A 25,038-nucleotide genomic window follows, 5' to 3' on the forward strand; every position below is an offset into this window, starting at 1 on the left:
CATAGTAGATCTAAAGTCCTGTCCCTCCCAATACACCTCTCTCCACACCCACCCTGTGCATTTCTTTATTGCAAAATTGCAGTTTTTATTTGGGGATAAGACCTTTTTGTTTTGTTAACCTTTCCCTGGGAGTTTCTCCAAAGCAGATTAATGAGTTCAGTGTTTCCTTTGATGTTGCTAAAAAGATAGGCAGATTGATGTTTACAGGGCCATTTGCACAATCAGGATGTTCTCATGCATGAACCACCATCAATTCAAGAACTGTACCTTCCATATTTTAGGTTCAAGCTTCAGAAAGGTTTTACAATTTCACAGCACGGCATGCTGTCTGGGAGCACAGTTTTGATCTTCACAGTGTAAGCAGCACATTTCCAGTACCTGTGACTATGGAGTTCCTCCTGCTGCCTCCTCCTCTCTTAGGAATATCCCAGGATGGAAGACAGCACTGCATTCCTGAGGACCTTCCTTCTCAAGAAATGCTCTTAGCAGAGAGGGCCCCTGTCTGATTCTTACCCTTTGGAACAGTTCAGGCACCCTTAGACACAGTACACAGCCCTTCCTAGCATGTGGGCAGGGGGACATCCTGTATTCACAGGCATTTGTATTGAGCTACAAGTTGGAAAGCCAGTCCCCCTAGCAAGAGAATCTTCTGCCAGCTCTCCCCGATTACTCCATTAACACTTCTTGACATCACCCTATTCATTTCCTTTTCAGCTTGTACCAAAATTTCTAACTATCTGGCTTTTACGTGCATTATATAATTGTATATATACAGTCATGCACTGCATAACATTTCAGTAAATGACAGACCATATATATATGGATTATATATATATATATATATGGATATATATACACATATATATACACACACATATATATATATATACATATATATGTATATATATATAAAATGGTGGTCCCATAAGATTATACTACTACATTTTGGCTCTACTTTTTCTATGTTCAGATAGATGCACCTATTGGTGTATTTTTCAGAATACATCCCCGTTGTTAAGCAATGCATTACTGTATTATATATATGGCACATGTATTATATATATGGCACATTGCCGTTACTTTTAATGGCAAAAACCGCAATCACTTTTGCTCCAACCTAGTAATTGCAATAAACAATTGTTGTATATAGCAATACTATTGCATTGTTTTTCCTGTGGTGCCTACTAGACCATGAACTCCAGGAGGGCAAGGGCTATATCTCCAGCATTGAGCACAGAGTCTGGAATAGATGCCTCTCTTCTTGCTTTTGAATGGATGGATAATTGTTTAAAATGGAAGAAGGCAAGAGAAGCATAACTTCCTATTATGGTGGATGCTGTTACCTAATAACATTGATTTCAGTGCCTTTATTTGTGCCATGGGTGCCTTGTGAGACTTTTATCCTGCAATAACAGTGGGAAAGAACTTTTGACTGAAAGTTTTTTGCATCTAGCCTTAAACTCTATGTCCCATATAAGCCTCCAAGTCACCGTTTCTTTATTAGTAAAGTGATGGGATAGGTCAGGATTTCTCTAAATTCCTTTCTTCAAAAAATGTTTAGGATAAATTTTCACTATCCATTATTATTAAATTTGCTCATCATTTTGTTAATAATTTCCTGCATTTCAATTCAGTTCCATTTAGATTCCTACTGTGCGCTGGCACATGGCTGAACTACATAGCTTCTGACATGTGAATTGAAGACATAGTTTAATACACACATTATACATGCGTATGTATATATATCACATATATATATAATCTACACGTATACATATAAGAGAGTCCCTGTTCTAATGGTGAGCTTATATTTATGCAATGTCAATTTTGATATTTATTCTTGAATTTAATCTAGAAAAGTTAGATAATGACCAGTCATAGTCTTAATTTTTATTCTTATTCATGCCAAAATTATTACTCTACTAGTAGAGTAAATAGATAGGATCATGGTTATAGTTTTCAAGGGAGAAGAGAATATAGACATTATTTAATCCATGTCCATTGTGTTACGAAGAATGCAAAAAAGACACTGACTTGCCTAACATCATATCAGTTATTGTGACAGCTGTAACTAAAACATGGTAGCTAGTGACTCTGAATCCTTTGCTTTTGAGACTACAATTCAGTCTAACTCTATGAGACTCTTACTGATGGTACACAGAACAGACCTATGTATTAGCCTCATGGGGTTTACCATCTGCCGGGGGAGCTAGAAATAAGACAATTATTTATACCTATATAATAGGAAGGTTACAGCGTGCTGGAACTTAGCAGTAGTCAGGGAAATTGAACCTAGACTATGAGTCAGGGAAGGCCTCCTGATGATTTGATAGAAATTGAAGTTGCAAAGGAAACAGTTCGGCAATGAAGGAAGAAGAACATTCTAGGCCCACTGAACAGCCTGTAGAAAGGGTCAGAGTGAGTAGATAGTGTGTGAGACGAACTAAGTGAGGGCCAGAAGGAGCTTAGGGAGCAAGGGGAAGAAAGCTTGAGATAGAGAAGTTAGGTGAGGATCTGACTTGGGCTGCTTTGGAGACCTTGGCGAGGAGTAGATGCATTTGAATGGAAACCCATGGCAAGGTTTGAAGCAGTGGAGTGGCTACCTTGGAAGTCATATAAATCATGTGAGTATCACTTTATTCTCAAACCATAAAGGCAGAGTGCACACTAGTCTTCAGTTTGATCCTGACTCAATGATTAGCAGGAGGCATGGGAAACAGACTTGTCCTGCCATTCTGGGCCTCAGCCTCCACACCCTACTGTCTGACCTGTACACAGACTAGTGCTTTGGATTAGCTTTATGCTTGTGTTTGGGACATCCCATCTTCCTCCACCCTTGACCTGGCAGCTACCCTGTTTTGCCATTTTGCCTTGTTTGGAAGATCTCCATTCTCTCCTGGTGTCCTGGGATGCCACTTGCCCTGTCAGGCTCTTTCAGCTGCTGGGAGCCTGTGGATTTGAGTCCAAGTATATTGTGCTGGCCACAGAAATTCATTTCTTTTAACACCTAAGTTGCAATCACAGTTTCAAAGGAATCATATGCATTTGCTGCTTATATTGCTTGGCTTTATTAAGAATGCTTCAGTTTTGAAATCACAATGGAATTTCTAACAACATATAATTTATTTCACTCATTCCAGTTGACATGATTTAATTTGCCTTTGATTTTGTTGTGAATGATGCAAGTGAAAAAAAGATGCCTGAGTTATTACTGTGTGTTCAACTGCTTTTTATGTTTTCTTTAATTTGCAGTTTTCTCGTGTACTGAAGAATAGGGCCTGGCCTACTTTTAAACAGGCCAAATCTAAAATCTCCCCACTGCACAGCAGTGATTTCTGCCCTACCAACTGCCATGTCAATGTGATGGAAGTTTCTTATCCCAAAACATCAACCTCTTTGGGAAGTGCATTTGGTGTTCAGTTGGATAGCAGGAAGCATAATTCTCATGATAAAGAAAACAAATCTTCGGAGCAAGGTATGCTAGCTTTTGCAACTTTATCAAATCATGAAAAGCAATTTAGGCAATCATAGCTATTCATGCATCCCTGAAATTCAATAGATACCTGGTGTGCAAACAAGCATGAACTTTTATAAAGGAAGGATTTCTTGCTGTAATCATTTGGATAATTATGCCTAAGTGTATACTGAATGAAAATGGAGTTAGGCATTTTTGTTATTTTTCTTCTAAGAAGGATGATTGCTCTTGCTTTCCTTATGCATATGATAGGCACAGCTCATCTTGCTGTGAAAGCTGCTGATCTGAAATGGCCCTGAAACTTTGAGGACAATACCTGAGGAACAGCTGCAGCAATGCACAGTGCCATTCTGTACCATCACAGTAGGACAAGGGATCAAACTATCCTCTAGTTTTTAATTACAGCTCCCCACGGGCTCTAATTTCTGAACTAAATTCAGCATTGGATCAGCATTTTATTTTATGGAATCTCAAATTTAATTTAACTGGATAAAGAAAATGGGGTATATAAACACAATGGAATACCACTCAGCCATAAAAAGAAGTAAATCCTGTCATTTGTGACAACATAAATGAACCTGGAAGATATTATGTTAAAGTGAAATAAGCCAGACACAGAAAGACAAATACTATATGATCTCATTTATATGAGAAATATAAAAAAGTTGATCTCATAGAAGTAGAGAGTAGAATGGTGAGTAGCAGGGCCTGGGGTGGTTGGGTGGGGGATTGAGAAGATGAAGGTCAAAGGATATAAAATTTCAATCAGATAAGAGGAATAAGTTCAAGAGATATATTGTATAACATGCTGAGTATAGTTAACATATTGTATTCTTGATAAATCCTAAGAGAGTGGGTATAAAGTGCTCTCAGCACCAACATGATAACTATGTGAAGTAATACATATGTTAATTACCTAGATTTAGTCATTGCATAATGCATATATACGTCAAAACATCAGGTTGTACATGTAATACATATAATTTTATCTGTCAATTAAAAAATAAATGAAATTAATTGGACTGGGTTGTTATCGCAAGTTAAAGGTGATACATATTACTAAGGAATGACTTTAATTCCTCAGGGAAACTGAGCCCTATGGTGTACATTCAGCACACCATCACAACCATGGCGGCCCCTTCAGGTCTGTCTCTGGGACAGCAGGATGGCCATGGTCTCAGGTATCTGCTAAAAGAAGAAGACTTAGAAACCCAAGACATCTATCAGAAACTGCTGGGCAAACTTCAGACTGCACTGAAAGAGGTGGAGATGTGTGTTTGTCAAATAGATGAGTAAGTGTTTTGTACTACACTTTTAAGTTTGCCAAATAAAATAGCCATAAAAATGTGGCTTAGAAAAATTCAATCATTCTCTCTTTAGTTATTGGAAATTTAGGAGATTTGTGCTGATTATATAGATCCTCTTCATTCCAAAACCTTAAAAATGTTTTTTAATGGAAAAAATACATATAGGTATATATTTTAAGTAAGCATTTAATACTAGGGAAGAGAATGACAAAATTCTGTCTTATACAAGGATACTAAATGAGTCTCAGTGTAAAAATATTACCTTGAAAGATATATTTGAAAGAATACCAGTTTTGTATGAGGATTTCCTTGTATTCTTTGTAGTTCAGGGTGCAAATTTTGGTGAATATGCACTCAATAGATATTTATAAAAGACATAAAGTATAATAAATGCTTAACATACTTGTTAAATGAGTAAATGCAAAATTATGTATCTCTAGGACGAATTTTTTTTTCTGTTCTGATTGAATTGACAGCCTGCTAAGCAATAACCCAAATACCTGTGCCAGTATTTTTAACCAAGAGAAGGTGGAGGCAGTTAATGAGCACTTTTCCAAATAAATCAGTTCTAATTCTTATGTAAGAATATGATGGTTGGAGAATTGCCTGAGCTTGGTAGGATGGTTTGTCATATCATGGTATAGGACGATGCTTCACATCTAGTCCAGACAGCTCTGTATAGTCAGAACAGCATGGGGTTTGAGGTAGCTCAGTTTCTCATCTACAGAAGTGACTGAGTAATAATAATGAATTACAAGTTTGTGGTCATGAAAATTATACAAATTAATATAGAAAGTAATCAGCACACTGCCTAATATAGTGCTTGCTCATCCATTCAAGGGATGGAAATTATTGAATATATCCCAAATTGGCAGATTCTGAAAATAATAGAAATACTGTTATCTTCTTTTTATTGTACTCTCTTCGTGAAGTTGTTGATTTAAATGGCTACGGATGTGAACTCTTTTAACTTCACACACACACCTATCATCCTGTACTTCATGGATAATTCAGTTTTGACACAAAATATTTAGAACTTATTCCAAGCCTTTGTTGTAATTAGACATTATACGGATGAAGTCATAATTGACACGATCTCTCATTTTACACATTTTTGAAATTTAGAGATCAAAATCACATTAGATGCATCATATTTTAAAAATTATCCTCAATATTTAGTATTTACTTTGCTAATTTTCTGAAGTTTTATGAGTGATTTAGAATTAAGATTTTGTTTTTCTATTTCTAATATGCTAGTTTTGTATATTATACTGTGACTTTTCCCATTTACAGATGAATTAAACCGTTCAAGATTGCTAAGAGAAAAGGAGAGTATTTTTTTAAGCAATTGCATGACATCTTTGAATTGTGTTGGAATCCTTGTGACAGCAGTTTATATTTTAGGATATGATATTTTACTTCATTTAATAAATGAGATTTTATTGCATGATATATTTTAGAAACCAGTTATTGTCTCCCAGAGGTATTTATGAAGTATATAGAATTTTTATTAATAAGGCAATAAATAGTGGCATTGAATCATAGCTCCTAGGCTTCAAAGGGATTTTAAGAAAACATCTGGACCAATCCCATACTTCCAGTTCCAAGAGTTGTTATTGCTATTTTGGGATGAGTCTTGTCAGTGGCAAGATTATTGATGTGCCTCAGCTGACACTGCTCAGGGACTAATCTTTACTGCATTGACGATCTAGCACTGCCTCACAATCCTCCAGACTTTGTCTTTGTTAATTTATTGACTTTTTTTTTTAAGGTTCAGGTAATGTAGAAATATTTTTAGGAAAAATATGTAAACCCAAGGAGCTCCTTTTACTTGGTTTAAAATATTTATATTTAAGACACTAGTTTCAGACTAGTTATTTTTTATTAACTAAAACTACTTAAAATGATTGTTTTTCACTGAAGATTTCCCCACCCTGTTATTCTAAAAACCTCTACCCAACTGAGTGTGTTTATTAGAAAAGTGGCACACAGTGAGCAAATGATTGGAGAAACCACCTTGGTCTTCTTTGGGTACACCACATCATGTAATTCTAAGTATAAATAGGTTCCACACAACTTAATGTGCAATATAATCCCTGTAAAACAGTACAATTATTTTAAGTGCCTGGATTCCCCCTTGCCTTTAATATTCAGAGATGCTGCCATGCAGTCGAGGTTAACACATTATTTAAAAATCTAGTATCTGAACAATTTTCTCACCCTATAGTAATTGTTCCTGGTCAGAGATGTCTTTGCAAGTGAAGAAGCAGATCTCGGATGTGTTGCCAACTTTTAAGAGAAACTGCCTGATAACACCTCAGTGTTAGCTTTTCTAGAAGTTATTCATCCCTGTGAAAGGTCCTGGGGTTGAGCTTGTCTTATCATAAAGTCTGGTTGTTCTGTCACCTGGGAATACCTCTCTTAGAAATGAAATTTCCTTTAACACATAGGCATTTCACTAAATCCTCCTACTTAGCTTCAGAGCCAAAGATGGAATTAGAGATGAATTTGCTGTCTAGTAACATGAGGTAAGATGATGTAATGAATTTAATCAAGGATTTGTGATTCCAATTTCACTTTGGAAAGTTAAAGACTTTTGCCCTGCAATGGGCTATTTACTGGGTAATGACACTTAGGTACAAGAAATAAGTAAAAGGAAAAATAATTAATGTCCAAAACCTTTGACAGGGTTTTTAAATAGAGGATTTGTGTATTCTCACAGGGAGGAAAGGGGACTGGTAGACATAGGGGATTTGAGAACAGACTTCATTTTGCAGGTGCCAGACGCCTCAGGATTGAGTGGTGAACAAACCACACTTTAAGACAGTTAGTAACCCGGGGGTTACAGATAGGAATGGTGGTGGTGGTGGTGGTGGTGGTAGAGTAATCACTGAGGTTTCCCCAAGCATTTTGCTACTAAATGTACAACAAGAGGGGCACACCATAAAAGCCAACTTTTTTATAGATGCTTATTTGCCAGGCAAGATTACATTATTATATACATTGGCTTATTTCATTCTCACAGTACTTCTGTGAGTTGAGTTATGAAACACCGGGATGCACCCTACTCCCTCCAGAGTGTGCAAGTTAGATGCAGGGAGAGGAAATCCTGCTTAATTTGCACAGGATATGTATGTAACAATATGTCTTGCCTACCCCACCTCTAAAATGGGGAAAATAATAATACCTACTTCATAAGGTGGTTTTAGAGATTAAATGAATTCATACCTGTTAAGGACTTAGCATCGTGACTGTCATGAAAGCTGAACAGATGTTAGCAATGATGATGATGTTTAAAAACACACAGGTCATTGCAACATACTGTATACAAAAATCTTTCTTATCAATGGCACAAGGAGAAGATTCACCTGGAATTGCATGCTGCTGAAGGTTTTAATTAATGGACCTCTAGTAGGTAACTTAATATTTTATACCAATGAAAGTGAAGGGATTTCTGCAAGCACAAATATTATGGTTTGATGCCTTGTTGCTTTTCAGAATCTAGAAATTTTATGCAAAACATGGTGTTAAAAATACAGTTTTTCTATCATTTGTTTGTAAGCCTAACACTTGTCCCACGGGGTCAATGCAAGCATGATTGCAGCTGTTTTAAATAAAAAGCAAATATCTGAATACAATTCATATAACTTTGAAAAAAATTATGCTTAGCCCCATGACTTCTAATTTAAAAGATACATAAGCACAGAGGCCTCTTGGCAAAATGAGAACTCCTGCATTTTTTCCCTCTTTGGTATTCAGAGTTCATCTGTCTGTGCAGCATGGAGCTTGGATAATTGGAGTTAGTCTAATGTTTTAATCTTTTGGGTGGAGAGGGTGAATAAATAGACAATCTGTCTTACAGGACATAAAAGTATCTTTCCAAAGAGAAAAACTGTGTTTAAAATCATCCATAGCTTTTGGTTATTAAAAATGTTCACAGGGCCTCAAGCAATGTAACATAGCTCCTTCAATTTTTCACTGGTGTCTAAAACCTATAAAATGTCAAAATATTGTTCAAATCTCACCTCGCTGTGAGACCTGACCTGACTGCACCACTGTTTGAAGTGGCAGCTTCACGCTTCCTTCCCTGCTTTCTTTTTCTCCTTACCATTTGCTGCCATTTGATATACTAGAAAGTTTACTTGTTTTTACTTGTCTTCTCTCAGTAGAATTTGAGCTCCAAGAAGGCAGGGGCTTTTGTATTTTGTTTTTGTTGTTGTTGTTGCTTGTTTGGTTGGTTTTTGAGACAGTCTCACTCTGTTGCCCAGGCTGGAGTGCAGTGGTGTGATCTATGCTCACTGCAACCTCCATCTCCAGGGTTCAAGCGATTCTCCTGCCTCAGTCTCCTGAGTAGCTGGGACTACAGGCTTCCACCACCACACCCAGCTAATTTTTGTATTTTTAGTAGAGACGGGATTTCACCATGTTGGCCAGGCTGGTCTCGAACTCCTGACCTCACGTGATCCACCCACCTCGGCCTCCCAAAGCGCTGGGATTACAGGCATGAGCCACCGCGCCCGGCCCTTTTGTGTGTTTTATAAACTACTATATCCACAGCACCAAGAACAGTGCATGGTATAATAAATGTGTTTAGTGAAATCACTTAATAGGTATTTATTCAATGCACAGCATTGGGTTTGACATTATGGAATATGCGTAAGAGGTATAAGATATCGTCACCGTCTTGAAATAACAAACATTACATTGCTATGGAAAAATGAGAATCAAGATATGTGCTACTGATTGGAACTGAAAATCACAGGTATTTAGTAAATGCGAAGATGGCTGCTGGCTTGAGAAGCCCTATATGGGTCCTTTGTTTATACATGGTTTAATTCATTTTGCAAGTTTTTTAGCATGCTCTTTGATAATAAAGTTCAATTCCATTTTTGCCTAATTTTGAGTTAGTTGTAACAGAAACATGCCACAGCCAAATGTTCAAGCCTAGAGTGTTGGAGTCAGCAGCTACTCAAAGTCCTCAGCAGGTTTCACACAGTTCAGTCTGACTGCGGCATTTTAGCCTGGAGCCAGGTGGAGGAGCTCTTTCTGTGGGCAGATTTGGGACATTTCATCCTGGCTGGCTTGCAGATTTACCCCATCCTCACATTGTATGTAACTCTGTTTAGTGTCTTGTAATCCCCAAGGCCAAGACTCCTGTTTGTACGAGCAGGGAGACGGATAGACAATCCAATATTCTCCCTGCCAAATAGGGAATGCCTGGGCAAAACCCAAGGCATAGATAGAGGGTAGGTGGGTTTTTAATACTGAATATGAGCCAGTGAGGACATGAAGGCCCATTTATAGTTTGGGTTTAATATTTGGCTAGCACTTTAAAGATTACTGAGTATTTTCTGTTTTTCTTTTCTTTCTTTTCTTTTCTTTCTTTTTTTTTTTTTTTTTTTTTTTGAGTTGGAGTTTCGCTCTTGTTGCCCAGGCTGGAGTACAATGGCACGATCTCGGCTCACCACAACCTCCGCCTCCTGGGTTCAAGCAATTCTCCTGCCTTAGCCTCCTGAGTAGTTGGGATTACAAGCATGCGCCACCACGCCCGGCTAATTTTGTATTTTTTAGTAGAGACGGGGTTTCTCCAAGTTGGTCAGGCTGGTCTCGAACTTCCGACCTTAGGTGATCCGCCTGCCTTGGCCTCCCAAAGTGCTGGGATTACAGGCATGAGCCACAACACCCGGCTGATTACCGAGTATTTTCATAAGGTGGTGATGGTTGTGCTAATGGCCAGGGGCTAGAGGTGACACCCATTATGCACCAGGAATATTCATTCTCACAGCAGTCATGGAAGCCAGTTATTCTCATTATCTCCATTTCACAAGTGTCAAACAAAACTATCACAGCTTTGTTTTAGCTATAGTCATACATGGCACAACCTGTATTTCAATGAAGCTTTCTGGTCTAAATTGTATGTTGTTTGTATGACTTATTTTGTGAAGAACAAGAGAACTTTGAATGACATGCTTTTTATGCAATAGAATATTTACTTGATATGAAACATTGAAGCACTCTAGAAATATTTGTAAGCCTATTGTATTCAGCAAATAAGGTAGTTATATATAGCAGACAGTTTGAAAATGTGCATTTTTTTTTAATATTACATTGCAGCCTTCTGTCTTCAATAACATATTCTCCTAAATTAGAACGTAAGACATCAGAGGGCATAATACCAACAGACAGTGACAATGAGAAGGGAGAAAGAAACAGCAAACGGGTATGTTTTAATGTAGCAGGAGATGAACAGGAAGATTCTGGTCATGACACCATCAGCAACAGAGACTCTTACAGGTAATTCACTAATTCCTCAAACTCATTTTCTTAACAAAGTCAAATATGATGCTGGATTTTCCACAAAGATCTTGAAAAAAGTTTTTGATTGTTTTTCTTTTAATTGGTCTTTCACAATAATCACCTGTTACTACCGACCTCAGACAAAGCATAGTGGGACAATGTAATATTTCAAATCCTTCCCTTTTCTAATATGAGTAGCTTGGAAAAAGCATTTTTTCGCTGGTTGTGTGAGCCTAATTTGGGAGAGTTGTTCTGTATATGGATTGTGTAACACAGATAGCTGGTAAGAAAATTGTGCCTATACAGGATTAACATTGTTTTCAACTATCTGTTTCTGTCACTGGTTTATTGGGTAGTGAATAGGAGTTCTTTTGGCTCTTTTTTCTCTCTTTTCTTTTCATTGTCTATGTTCCAACCTAATTGGACTAATGTTCCTTGCCTACCTCGGAGACAAGGCTTGTGGTTTTTACTCTCTTGGATACCTTCTGTATTAGTTTTGTAGGGCTGCTGTAACAGATTACTACAAACTGGGCAGCTTAAAAAACAGAAATTTATTATCACACAGTTCTGGAGGCCAAAAATCTGAAACCAAGGTGTGGGCTGTGTTGGCTCCTTCTGAAGGCTGTGGAGGAAGGATCCGTGCCAGGCGTGGCTCCTTGACGCGTAAACGGCCATCTTCTCCCTGTGTCTCTGCACGTCATCTTCCCTCCATATGTGTCTTGTGTCCAAAGTTTCCCTTCTTATGAGGACATTTTATAGGGTGGCTTAAGGTCACGCCCTAATGACCTCATTTTAACTTGATTACCTTTGTAAAGACCCTATCTCCAAATAAAGTCACATTCTGAGGTACTAGGGATCACTTTTCAAACATATGAATTTTATTGGGAGACCTAGTTCAACCCAAAATACTTTCCCTCCAAACTCTGTTATTGTCTTCCTACTAGACTTCCAAATGATGTCTCCTCACGTGAACTTCCTTAATTCAAACTACTTTTTGTTCCTTGAATCCATGTATCACCTGATACCTCACTGAGGACTGTCATAACCAGCCACATAAGCTGTGTATACAACTTCAACATATTTTTCATTTATATTAATTGAAAGCAGAAACTATCTTCTTCACTCATTTATTATGCAGTGTTTTGCAATGAAAAGATATTGATTAAATAGTAATCAAAGTTCTCATCAGAGTATAACTAGCTACAAACTAGGAGCTAACATTAAAAATATACTTTTATCAAACACATGGGGGAAAGAGGAAGATTTTACATAATCCTCACCGCAAGCCTCGGTGGCAGGTTCTGATAGGAATTCCATTTTACATATCAGGAAGCTGAAGCCCAGAGGGCTGATATCATTTACCTATGAGACCAGGTGGTCTGGCTTCCCAGTTTGTCTCTTAACCACTCTACTATTCCAATTTCTATGTTTCCAAAAAGGATCTTAATGAACACATAAGAATTATTCTAGAGATTTAATAATAGATCAGACAGATTAACCACTTTTATCACTTCATTTACTTTTCACTTCTAAGCATCCCAACCTGCTCTTTAATAGGAATCTGTAGAGTTTTTCCCAGTGGGAAATTACATGTCTAAAAATACTTTCTTACCTCAAGTTCTAGTTATCAGATAATTAAAATTACCCTGACAGTTTCCCTCTAGGCTAAGATAGAAATTTTAAATGTAAATTTAAAGTTAAGGACGTCCTTTTTACTTATTCTGAGAGGAAAGAAAATACTTTATCTCCTGCACTATTTCTGAAATTTGTCCCTGTTCACACACAAACATATTGAACCTTTCTTTCCTTGGGCATTCATCATTATCAAGCACTTCCCTGTGCTAAAAGCTCTGAGGTGGAGACAGACAAGTTTCCTGTCCTCCCTAAGGAAGCTCAGAGTGTAACCAATAAGTTATGATTTAAGCCACCAGAAAGGGACAGAAATCACAGAACAGTATTTTGTCTCTATTAGCAAGTTATCTAATTACTGGCATGTATCATGAAACAGATTATAAAGAATTTTAAGTTTGGCATGACTCCTAGTTTTATAGCTAACTGCCCTTAAAAAATCATTTAGGATTAGATTATATGATACAAGAAAATTTGAAATATAATTGAATCAAAAATATGCCATCTTTGGCCGGGCGTGGTGGCTCACGCCTGTAATCCCAGCACTTTGGGAGGCCGAGGTGGGCGGATCACAAGGTCAGGAGATGGAGACCATCCTGGCTAACATGGTGAAACCCTGTCTCTACTAAAAATACAAAAAATTAGCCTGGTGTGGTGGCGGGCGCCTGTAGTCCCAGCTACTCGGGAGGCTGAGGCAGGAGAATGGCGTGAACCCTGCAGGCGGAGCTTGCAGTGAGCCGAGATCGCACCACTGCACTCCAGTCTGGGAGACAGAGCGAAACTCCGTCTCCAAAAAAAAAAAAAAAGACAGAAAATATGCCGTCTTTAAAAAGTAAGATAGACTGAGTTGAACAAGTTTATCTTTCTCATAGTTTTCTCTAAAACATACTAATAAATATAACTGATATAAGTTTATGTCATAAGAAATTGCAGGGACACCTGGGCAGATGCACTCTTACAGTAACATGAAACCTGTTGTTTTCAGTGACTGCAACAGCAATAGGAATTCCATCGCCTCCTTCACCAGCATCTGCAGCAGCCAGTGCAGCTCGTATTTCCACAGTGATGAAATGGACTCAGGTGTGTTCGTTGGTGAAGGCCTGTGGGCTTTTTGATATTAGTCCTATAGGAGATAACTTTAAGGTTTTAATTTCGTAGATCCATATGAATTTTTATTTTTACCTTTTATCAGTCACTCTCTGTGGCCACACATACTGCATTTCAGTTTTATGAGCTTGATAGTCTATTTCCCAATCCCATTTTAAAGGGAGTGAGTTAAAAAGCAATGAAATAAGCAAACTAATTGTAATCTTCAGATATGCTCCATTATCTCTGTATGGTTCTATGAAGGATTATAGGTACACAGGAAATATACTGGAAGTATTAGGCATGGTTGATGGGGATGGGCAGGTGTGGAGTTTGAAGCATTTAAGACAGCAGGTTCACCTGAGCTAGCTTTATATGTGGATGTTGAGGATTGAGGGTAATGAGAGAAACAGATTGATATAATTATCTTATAAATATATTATCTTGTGTGTGTTAAGAACAAAGACCTTTCATTCCAATTAGGGAAAATCTTAATTTTTGATTATGCAGTTTATGTCAACTCTTCAACCACTGGAGGAACATCATTTGAAAGAGTCTTTAACAAGTATCTTTTCTGGGAGGCACTCCGCCTTCAGAAGAAATAGTAACATCCCAGGAGCTATGAAATCTTTTGGAACTCTTTCTCTGAACATGAGAACTGTGCATGGAATAACAGCTTGTGTTTAATTTTTACATTTTATTGAATATTACAATATTTTGGTACGTTAAACATAAGATGAGTGATTTTGGTTTTTGGTTTTGTTTTTGTTTTGACATCTAGGTGATGAACTTCCCTTAAGTGTTCGCATATCTCATGATAAACAGGACAAGATACATAGTTGCCTTGAGCATCTTTTCAGCCAGGTACAATCGGGCATTTGTGGGGCTTTTGTTCCACAACTAAACTGTGAGGAGTCCCTTTTTCATATGCAGTAAAAGGAGCTCAGAGTTAGAACAGAAAGGCCTCAATCTGTCCTTCCACCTCCTTTACCTCAATTTCTGACATTTAAACTAGGAATCAACATTCCTTCAGCCAACTAACCTAAAGGATTTTTGTGAATATCAAGTATTTTACAGTCCTGGGAAAATTACTGTTATACACATAGGAGTTACCCTTTTTAGTATTTTTTTTTGTTTTTTTGTTTTCAGAAAGCTTTATGATATTTCTTGCTCAATATTATTTCTAATTTTAAAAAGCACAAGATATTGCCTTGGATGCTAATTTTGTTGTTTTACATTAACAAAATTTATAGCCATAACCAAAATTTGTAGTAGAAGATTTTACCACTTTGAAAAGGATTCCAATAACTTATACAGTAAATTTATATTTTGTGTTAATATATGGTAAGATAGTAAGAAATGTCATTGCAAATGTTATCAGGTGCATTTATTTCAATATTTTATGTAAAGATCGATTTCACAAGCATCATGGGGTTTCAAAAATAATTGTTGCTTTAAGAAAAAATATTTTATAAGATTTACTTTTAGAAATACGTATCATGTACTATGAGAAATATGTAACTCGGAAATCTCTACTATTGATAGGTGGATTCAATTACCAATCTCCTAAAAGGGCAGGCTGTTGTGAGGGCCTTTGACCAAACCAAGTATCTCACTCCAGGCCGAGGATTGCAAGGTAAGCCTTGAAAAATTAACTAGTAGAAGCAATTGAGAAAAACAAGGTGGTAGACAATATAGTCATGAAGCAAGCAGATTGCATAAGAGGAACAATTCCAGTTACTCATGTTTCATAATTCACCAAACACTACTTCTATTCTGATAATTTTTGAATATGTAAAAAAGTCAGCATAGGAATTTTTACATGTCTGTTTCTTTGAAAGTTTAAAATGTTTAATGCCTATAGGGGCCAGGCTGAGCAAAAATAAGTTAATTGAAGATACATAAACATGAAGTTGATTTTGCTGAAACCAAGCGTAATGTCTTCTTGGCTGTTTCCCAGTGGTGAGGAAAGGGTGTGGGGAATGAGAGTTGATGAATGGAAAGGATGGAGCTGCCACTCTGACAAGTAACTAGTTTGGGATAATGAAAGTAGAGTTTTCATCTAAATTTGCTTCGTTTAAACATTTATAAGAAAATAACATGAAGGTTTGACTTTTTACATTTAACGGATTTTCTGATGGTGTGGCAAAAGAAATGACCACCATGTCAATAGTCTAGGACAACAGTGACAGAAGAAGGTTTTGAAGCCTAAAGGCTTCATTGTTTAGGAATTATTTGAGACTTAAGAGAGATTTTCTGTGTTTATTTAGAATTTCAACAGGAAATGGAACCAAAGCTGAGTTGTCCAAAAAGGCTACGGCTTCATATCAAGCAAGATCCTTGGAATCTTCCCAGCAGCGTCCGGACTCTTGCTCAGAACATCAGGAAATTTGTTGAAGGTCAGCATGAAAAGCAAAGAACATTGCATGATATTAGCAATAATCAATTTAAAACCCACTAAAACCAAAAGTTTGGTAATGCCTGATTATTTTTTGCAGTGTTTCCTTTTGTGAAGAAAATAAAAGTACTGAAAATGGTGAGGGAGGAAGAGGGCAAGAAGGAATAAGATTATAGGGTCTTGTGTCCCAAGGTTATAAACATCATGGAGAATATTCTCAGTGAATAAAATAAGGGCTCAAAGTTATGAAGACAAATAGAACGTGAAGAGAATTTAAGACTCTATAAAAGGAGACAATATCATAAACAAATTCTGAAGGATTTACAAAAAGGCATGAAGCAAAAGTTTATCCACAAAAAAAAAATCAGTTGTGAAGCTGTATGAGAATCAAAATAATCACATAGGTTGCATCATTGATTTTTAAGTTTTTATATCAGAAGTGTTTGTCTAAGTTGATTGCTATTAACTACCATAACATTATTTACATGACATTCTATAATTGGTAAAACCTGTAAATTGGAGATATATGACTTTGAGACGACTTCATTGAGATAGATTGCATGTTGTTTAGAATCAGTGTGATTAAGTGAAAATTCTGAGAGTTTCAAAAATGATTATGGTGGAAAAGATAAAATGAGAATTCACCTAGTTGTAAAAATATATAACTCAGAAATTTTCTTCCCAGTGATTAGAACAGTGGTTGGCAACATCTGGAGGTATTGGTTGTCACAATTGTGGGTGTGCTACTGACCTCTAGATAGAGGCCAGGGATGCTGCTGAACATTCTAGAATGTATGAGACAGTTCCTTACAAGGAAGAATTCTCTGATACAAAATGTTAATAGTGCTAAGGTCGAGAAACCCACACAATAAATACTATTCCTGTGTTTACATTTTTATTCTTCAGTCATTTGTTTGTCAGTTGGTTGTGGTCAATAGTATTCAATGGTATTTAACAGAATTACAGTGTAACTGCAGTTATTACCTTAAGTGGGGTAAATTAAAGAGAGCTGTAAATTTTGCTGACAAAAGACAACCCCTTATATCAAATGGAGTCTGAGTTAGTCACTTAACTCTTTTAGGCTTCAACTTCCACATTTATTAAATGACAGAGATGGCTTAAATGTTCTGTGATTACTAAGTCTTCTGCATAGACTTATACTCAAATATAACAACTTATGTTTAGAGATTAGTAGAAAGGAAATTTGTACAGATATGGAATACTTCCCCAAATAAATCATAGTGATTCTATCTTGCGATAAAATCGTGTATTTGACAGCTGGTTTTCTTGGCTATATTTTTATTTTATGGCCTAATGTAATGTTTATCTGTGATACTTTATAACATAATATTTAATGAAAAGTCTGAATTTAAAATTCCCCAAAATATGAATAGCATAAATGTTAAATGCATTTTTGAAAAACTATTATGTTTTAGAAATTTAAGTATATACTTTACTGAGTAAAAGACATTTCTGCTGAATAGATGCCAGTATTATGACACTACTAGAAACTATAATTCTGCAGTTGTTCTCATCATCTTTGAGATTTTATATTTGTTTTAAGGTAAATGCATATTGGCTAGGAATGGAGAAATCCTTAAATCATCTCCCCCACTTTTTTGTTTTGAACAATTTTATCTTTCAGATAGAAATTTCTAATGCTCTCATTAGATTCAAAGAACTTCTTGGCTTCTGCGTTAATTTTACTATTTATCCAAAAGTTATTCAAGGGCAGGTTATTCAATATCCATGTAATTGTATGGTTTTGAGTGAATTTCTTAATCTTTATTTCTAATTTGATTGTGTTATTGTCTGAGAGAGTGGTTGTTATGATTTCACTTCTTTTGCATTTGCTGAGAAGCGTTTTATGTCTGATTATGTCATCGATTTTAGTGTATGTGCCATGTGGTGATGGGAAGAATGTATATTCTGTTGTATTGGGATAGAGATATCTGTAGATGTCTATCAGGACCATTTGATCAGTGCTGAGTTCAGGTCCTGAATATCTTTGTTAATCTTCTGCCTTGATGATCTGTCTAATACTGACAGTGGGTTGTTGAAGTCTCCAACTATTATTGTGTGGGAGTCTAAGACTCTCTGAAGTTCTCTAAGAACTTGCTTTATAAATCTGGGAAATTAATGAGAGCAAAGGTAAAGCATACCAGACTCTCTGGGACACAGCTAAGGCAATGTTAAGAGGAAAATTTGTCGCACTAAATGCCCATATCCAAAAGTTAGAAAGATCTTGATTTATAAACCTAACACCACAACCAAAAGAACTATAGAAGCAAGAGAAAATCAAACCCAAAGGTGCCAGAGGACAAGAAATAACTAAAATCAGAGCTGAACTGAAAGAGATTGAGATACAAAAAACCATTTAAAAGATCAATGAATCTAGGAGTTGATTTTTGAAAAAATTAATAAAGTAGATAGACCACTAGCTGGGCTAGTAAAGAAGAAAAGAGAGAAGATCCAAACAAACACATTAGAAATGACAAAGGAGATATTACCACTGACCCCACAGAAATACACATAACTATCATGTTATGTGCATTTACACATAAATACCATAACTATGGACACCTCTATGCACATAAACTACAAAATCTAAAAGAAATGGATAAATTCCTGGACACATGCACCCTCCCAAGACTGAACCAGAAAGAAATTGAATCCCTGAACAGACCTCCATAACAAGCTCCAAAGTTGAATCAGTAATAAATAGCCTGCCAACCAAAAAAAAAAGCCTGGAACCAGAGAGATTAACAGCCAAATTCTACCAGATGTACACAGAAGAGCTGGTACAGTTTCTATCAAAACTATTTCAAAGAATTGAGGAGGAGGGACTCCTCCCTAACTTATTCTAGGAGGCCAGCACTATCCTGATACCAAAAACTGGCAGAGATACAACAACAAAAAGAAAACTTCAGGCCAGTATTCTTTATGAACATCAATGCAGAAATCTTCAACAAAATCCTGGCAAACCAAATCCAGCATCACATCAAAAAGCTTACCTACCATGATCAAGTAGTCTTTATCCTTGGGACGCAAAGTTGGTTCAACATACTCAAATCAACAAATGTGGTTCATCATATAAACAAAGGAATATAAATCATTCTATCATAAAGATATGTGCACACGTATGTTCGTTGCAGGACTGCTCACAATACCAAAGACATGAAATCAGCTCAAATGCCCATCAGTGGTAGACTGGATAAAGAAAATGTGGTACCTGTATTCCAGGGAATACTATGCAGCCATAAAAAAGAATGAGCTAATGTCCTTTGCAGAAACATGAATGGAGCTGGAGTCCATTATCCTTAGCAAACTAACACAGGAAGAGAAAACCAAATACCACATGTTCTCATTTATAAGTGGAAGCTAAATGATGAGAACACATGGACACAAAGAGAGGAACAACACATACTGGGGCCTATCAGAAGGTGAAGGGTAGGAGGAGGGAGAGGATCAGAAAAAATACTTAATGGGTATTAGGCTTAATACCTGGGTGATGAAATAATCTGTACAACAAACCCCCATGACACAAGTGTACCTATATAAGAAACCTGCACATGTACCCTTGAACTTAAAAGTTTAAAAAAATATATTTCTAATGCAGGATAAAAAGTTTAATTTTTCAAAAAGTACTCATTTTAAGAATCTTACATTTTCATTTCAAGACCTGCTTTTGTATTCTCTGTAACTCATGTCACAATAAGCAGCTATAGGAATGATAACTATATACATACTGATTGATGGATTGATTGATATGTGTTGTGAATTTGGGTGCCACTCTTGGTCATGGGAGTCCAATGGCTAGTTGAGTGTGGTTGGATGGGCTGAGAGTCTTATAGTCAATGGTGTGGGGAGGGCTCTCTGTAGAATTTAGTTGCATCTCTGGTTGCAAATTTCAGTGAGTTTCAGTGAGCTGTTTGGGTAACAGCTGTGATTGTCACCATGTTAAGTGAGTCTTTAAAAATGATTACATTTTGCTTCATCTCAATGGACTATGCAAGCGAGAGGGCATGCTACCATTTCCTGGTAATCTGTGTGATGTCCGGTCCTGTTAGGAGTTAAAAAAGCATTAGGATCATTGAAATCAGTTGCTTGTTATGTGGAGGCACTCTGAGTAACTTTGCTAGTTCAGCATGAATTTATCCTATTCAACTTAAGTCATTTTCATTCTACTTCCTAGACTGTCTTTATATAGTGAATGACTTAATGAAAGGTTAGATCTTGGAACTTAATTTAACCTGGTGCTACCAGGCCAGAATTTCTTGGTTTATATAAGCAGCTGGGATGACCCCATTTCTAATGTTTTTCCTAGTCTCCGATTTCAAAATACCCCATCTGTTATATACCACAGGTGATATCAAGGTGTCATAATTCTATGATCTTTATTTAGAACTGTTGCAGTGCTATTCAAAAATTGTATCATTATATACTCACCCATTCATAGCAGATTAAACTGTGTGTAGAAGAGAGCAGAGAAGATAGTGAATTAAGTGAGGACAGATTAATTATATGGTGTCCCTAAGACGATGCCTATCTCCTGCTTAACCTCTGAGGTAAGTTATGGCCTCATATTATCAGCTGAATGAAGAGATTTTTATTTGAGTAGCCCACCATCACCTTAAATTCAGATGTTTATTAGTGAACACATTTTCAACTTTCTGTTCCCTATAAAGAAAAATGCTTTATTCTAAATCTCATATTTTTTTTAGCAACCTATATTTTAGAAAGTTTTTTCCCTGCATTTGTCCCAATATTCTAAAGAGTGTCTCTTCAGTTTTTCCCTTTTTCATCACACTTCAGTAATTACAATGATTTTTCTGGCTAACGTCCCTCTCCCTATCTTTTTATGATTCTTAAAACCATTACGAGATTCATCTTCCTAAAATATCGTGTTCATAATTTCACTACTGTGTCACAGAGTCTTGCGGTGATTTTCTATTAGGTAAGACTAAACACATTGATCTGTTAGAAGCCATTTTTCAGTGGGGCTTTCTAATCATATCCCAATCTCAGTCTCTTAATGATATAATAAAATCTCTGTAGGCTAGATTGTTAGATAATTGTTATTCATTCTCTACTATATTCCTTTGCTAGCAAAATCTCTCAATCTTAGAATATGTATCTCTTTTCTTGACAGTGATAATTTAAAGTTTTATGAAATATTTTCTAGTCTCATTTAGAATTCTATACCAACTTTGGCCAGATTCAGATTACAATAATAACAGTCTTCACCTGTATATAGGATTTTAAACAAATTTCAAAGACTTTTCACACATATTCTCACTTATATTTTACACAGACCTGTAAAATAGATAAGGCAGATGTTATCTTCATTTATGAATGAGTTAATTGAGACTCAAAGTAATTTAGCAATTTTCTAAAGCCACAAAGCTAGTATATAACAGCAGTCTTCTGACTCTTAGCTTATTGTACTTTGCTGCCTCTGAAATCCTTTTCTGCTTTCAGTCTCACTTGTAAAATGTGGTGCCCTTTGAAGTATTTCCTGCATTTCTTTTCAGTCAATTCTGTCTTTCTGACTCTACTGTGAATCTGTCTAGAATAGGATATAACTTAATCTTTTTTTTCCCATAATCTTGGGCATTTAGCAGGAACTTTGTAAGTTTTTAAATTTACCTATTGCACATAAACTATAATTATTTGTTAGTTGGAAACAAATGGACATGTAACTCATTGGACACCTAGCAATTCGTATGAAATTCATACACATTTATCAAACATCTGTGATTGACCCTGTGTGGGTTGGAGTTGGAAGAAGAGTATATATATACACACACGTATGTGTGTGTGTATATATATGTGTGTAATATATATATACATATATACGTGTGTGTGTATATATATATACACACATGTGTAAACTTTGAAAGTTTAAATAACAGTAGCAAAAATATTGTTTGACAGTTTATTGCTAGTGATTACAACAGTTGTAGCTTGCAGAACACCAAGCAGGCTAAAACAGCTAAGGATGACCTAAAAAGCTGCCAGGATTTGAATGGTGTTTCATTGACTGATATAATTCAGAGACATTTCAGGATCTTGAACAATGGATAGAATTTGTGTAGGCAAACAGGCAAGCGTAGCATGTCAAGTGAATTGATTTTTATTATCTAATATTAGGTTGGTGCAAAAGTAATTGCTGTTTTTGCCATCCATTGAAAGTAATGGCAAAACCACAACTACTTTTGCATGAACCTAGTCCAATAAGATCATACTAATTTTGACTACACAGTTAAAATATGGTATTTGTGACAGAAAGAGTGAACAATTAACTGATGTGTTTTCTTTCTCTGCAGAGGTAAAGTGTAGGCTACTCCTGGCTCTTCTTGAATATTCAGGTAACATTTTGCATTTTATTTTTTTTTACTATTTAAGTGATTGTGGCCCAGGATCATAAAGGCCTTGAAATTTGAGGACAACGCCTTCAACCATTTACAAAATAGAAATATGATCCCTACCTTCTCCAAAGCTTTGGAAAGATTAGAAAAAGTACTCACATCATTTTAATAAAAATGCAAATATATATATATACATATATATATATACACACATACTTGTATTCTCTTATAAGCAAAACCATGAAAACATATATGAATATAGATTTAAACAAAATATTATTAAACAGGAGAAAGGGAGTAGGTTTTGCTAAAGTTAATTGTGTCTAAATTTTGTTTATGAGCAAGAATGAATGTATGTAAACATTTTACAAATCTTACATTAAAACACTTTTACCATGCACTTAGTGGGAGCTCAAAAAATATTGGTAATGGAAAATGACACTAAAGGACAATTAAATATTTGATGAGATTCTAAATTGCAGATGATAGACTGTAAATGTCATAAAGGCAGGCACTATGTCTATTTTGTTCATCAGCAAATGCCTAAAATAGTGGCTGGCATATAGATATTCAACAAATATTTATGGCAAAAATGAATGAAAAATTATATGAATGAAAAAAGGAAAAATGTATGAAATATTTCAACAAGGTTTTCATTCAAAATGCATTTACAAGGAAATAGATCGTAAAGATTGGGAAAACTCAACTACATGCCATTTAATTACAGTGAACAGTTTGATGTTAGCCTGCTGTGCGTCTCTTTCTGTAGATTCAGAGATATATAGATATGTTGAATGAGTTACTTTTATTATTTTAATCTATTTCCCATAAAGTATGTGTATGTGTATACACAGAAATTCTATTACATTAACTAGATGTTGATAGGGATTTGTTCCTAAAAAATATAACCTGAATGATTACTTGTGATAGCAGTTAGCTTTTGTTGTGTTTAAAAAAATTCCCCAAACTTTCTGGCATAAAACAATGACCATTTCTTATTGCTTACCTGTCTAGTGTCATCTGGCCATTTCTGGTGGTCTGTGCCAGGTTTTATTGATCTTGGCTGGGTTTGCACATGTGTCTGCAGTCAGGTGGTGGGTTGGCTAGGCACAGGTGATCTAGGGTGGCCTTGCTCACATATGTAACATTTGGCTGGCTGTTAGCTGAGGTAACAGGGCTGCCTGGACTGCCTGTCTCTCATCATCTATGAGGCTAGCCTGTTCTTGTTCACATGGTGGATTTGCAGGGTTCCAGGAAGACAGTGGGAATGTCGAAGAGCTTGCCACCTTCTACTGGCCCCAGCATGTAACTGGCAAGGCCAGACTTAAGGGGTAGAGACATAGATTCTACTTTTGAAGGAAAGGGTCTCAAAATTACATTACAAGAGTGTGGATACAGGCAGGGAAAGAATTTGTGACCACTTTTCCAAAGTACCACACTTGGAAATTTTAAATTATGAATGGACCGAGTTAACCAACAAGGCTTTTTTATTTGTCCATTGGTTTTTTGCCCTAATGAAAAAAGGTTTTGCCTTGCTTTTTGACTGAGTAATAATAATGACAAAAATATCTGAGAGTTTCTGAGCTTTACTAATAACACAATTCATGGACCTCATTTTCTTGGATTTCACTGGATCCCCACAACCCACTATGTGAGAATATTATTGTTTCCACAGTTTTAAAGGTGAAGAAATTGACATTCTGGCAGATTAATAATAACCAGCACATAGTATACAGTCAACACTGACGTTGGAGCATCTAGAAGGTTAGGCATATTGATGCCTTATTGAATAAATGAATAAATAGTAGGTGGCAGTTTTGAAATTCAAACTTAGGTTTGCCAATTCCGGAGGTGATTCTGGGATGCTTCGTTTTATTCATTAATGCTCAAATGGATGCTCTGGTAGATTTTTATTTTGATTTCAATTTTATTTTTCTATTCCTCTTATGATTCTTTATTTTCCTGCTTTATTTGCTCACCCTCTCTCCCCTCTTCTATATAGGATGACACCAAAACAGGAGCCAAAATACTTTATATTTTTGGCTGCGAAATTATGTTTATTTGAAAAGGGTAGACTGTGTCTTTTAAATATTCTTAACCTCCTTTTATTTCTACCTTTCTCTTTTTCTAATCTCCTTTTTTGTTGTTTATTTTGCTTTATTTTCCCTGCAATCTCTGTGCTAGAATAATTTCTGAGATTGCTTTTGTGTGTCTAGAAACCATCTCATTCTTTTTAGACCAGCTAGCTAATTACAGATCTTAAACTTCTAAACAGCCAAGATTAAATAGTGTAATTTAAAACATGTGTTAGAAGATGAGTTTAAATAGGTGCTTAAATACTGAAATGAAACCGAAGCCTTTGATAGGTACAAAAACCATTTCTTTTGAGTGTACTCTCACTATAAGAAAAATATTACTCTATGATAAAAATAAATAATAAAAATCTTACTCTACAACAATAGTAAGCAAAAAAAA

The 25,038-nt window shown here is 36.1% G+C and overlaps 1 protein-coding gene across 4 annotated transcripts in view, besides 1 other annotated feature; it reads left to right on the forward strand.

Annotated features, from left to right (window-relative positions):
- The window catches only part of PREX2 (phosphatidylinositol-3,4,5-trisphosphate dependent Rac exchange factor 2), a 284,987-nt gene that overhangs the window by 152,811 nt on the left and 107,138 nt on the right, over window positions 1-25,038 (forward strand). For 2 of the 4 annotated variants that reach the window (NM_024870.4, XM_047422267.1), the window contains exons 24-31: window positions 3,253-3,475; window positions 4,560-4,767; window positions 10,897-11,076; window positions 13,694-13,788; window positions 14,576-14,658; window positions 15,340-15,430; window positions 16,065-16,193; window positions 22,522-22,563. In NM_024870.4, coding sequence (NP_079146.2) covers window positions 3,253-3,475; window positions 4,560-4,767; window positions 10,897-11,076; window positions 13,694-13,788; window positions 14,576-14,658; window positions 15,340-15,430; window positions 16,065-16,193; window positions 22,522-22,563 — 1,051 coding nt within the window. Of the gene's footprint in view, window positions 1-281; window positions 1,154-3,252; window positions 3,476-4,559; window positions 4,768-10,896; window positions 11,077-13,693; window positions 13,789-14,575; window positions 14,659-15,339; window positions 15,431-16,064; window positions 16,194-22,521; window positions 22,564-25,038 lie in introns of those variants that run through there. The other 2 variants (XM_047422268.1, NM_025170.6) reach the window with 2 other exon arrangements.
- Window positions 7,104-7,304: a silencer, noted in NCBI's record as "peak7061 fragment used in MPRA reporter construct". NCBI's record gives its function as "represses an SCP1 promoter by STARR-seq MPRAs in K562 erythroleukemia cells {active_cell/tissue: K562}" and the evidence as "EXISTENCE:reporter gene assay evidence [ECO:0000049][PMID:32103011]".

The sequence above is a fragment of the Homo sapiens genome, chromosome 8 (assembly GCF_000001405.40).
Source record: "Homo sapiens chromosome 8, GRCh38.p14 Primary Assembly".
Lineage (NCBI taxonomy): Eukaryota > Metazoa > Chordata > Mammalia > Primates > Hominidae > Homo > Homo sapiens.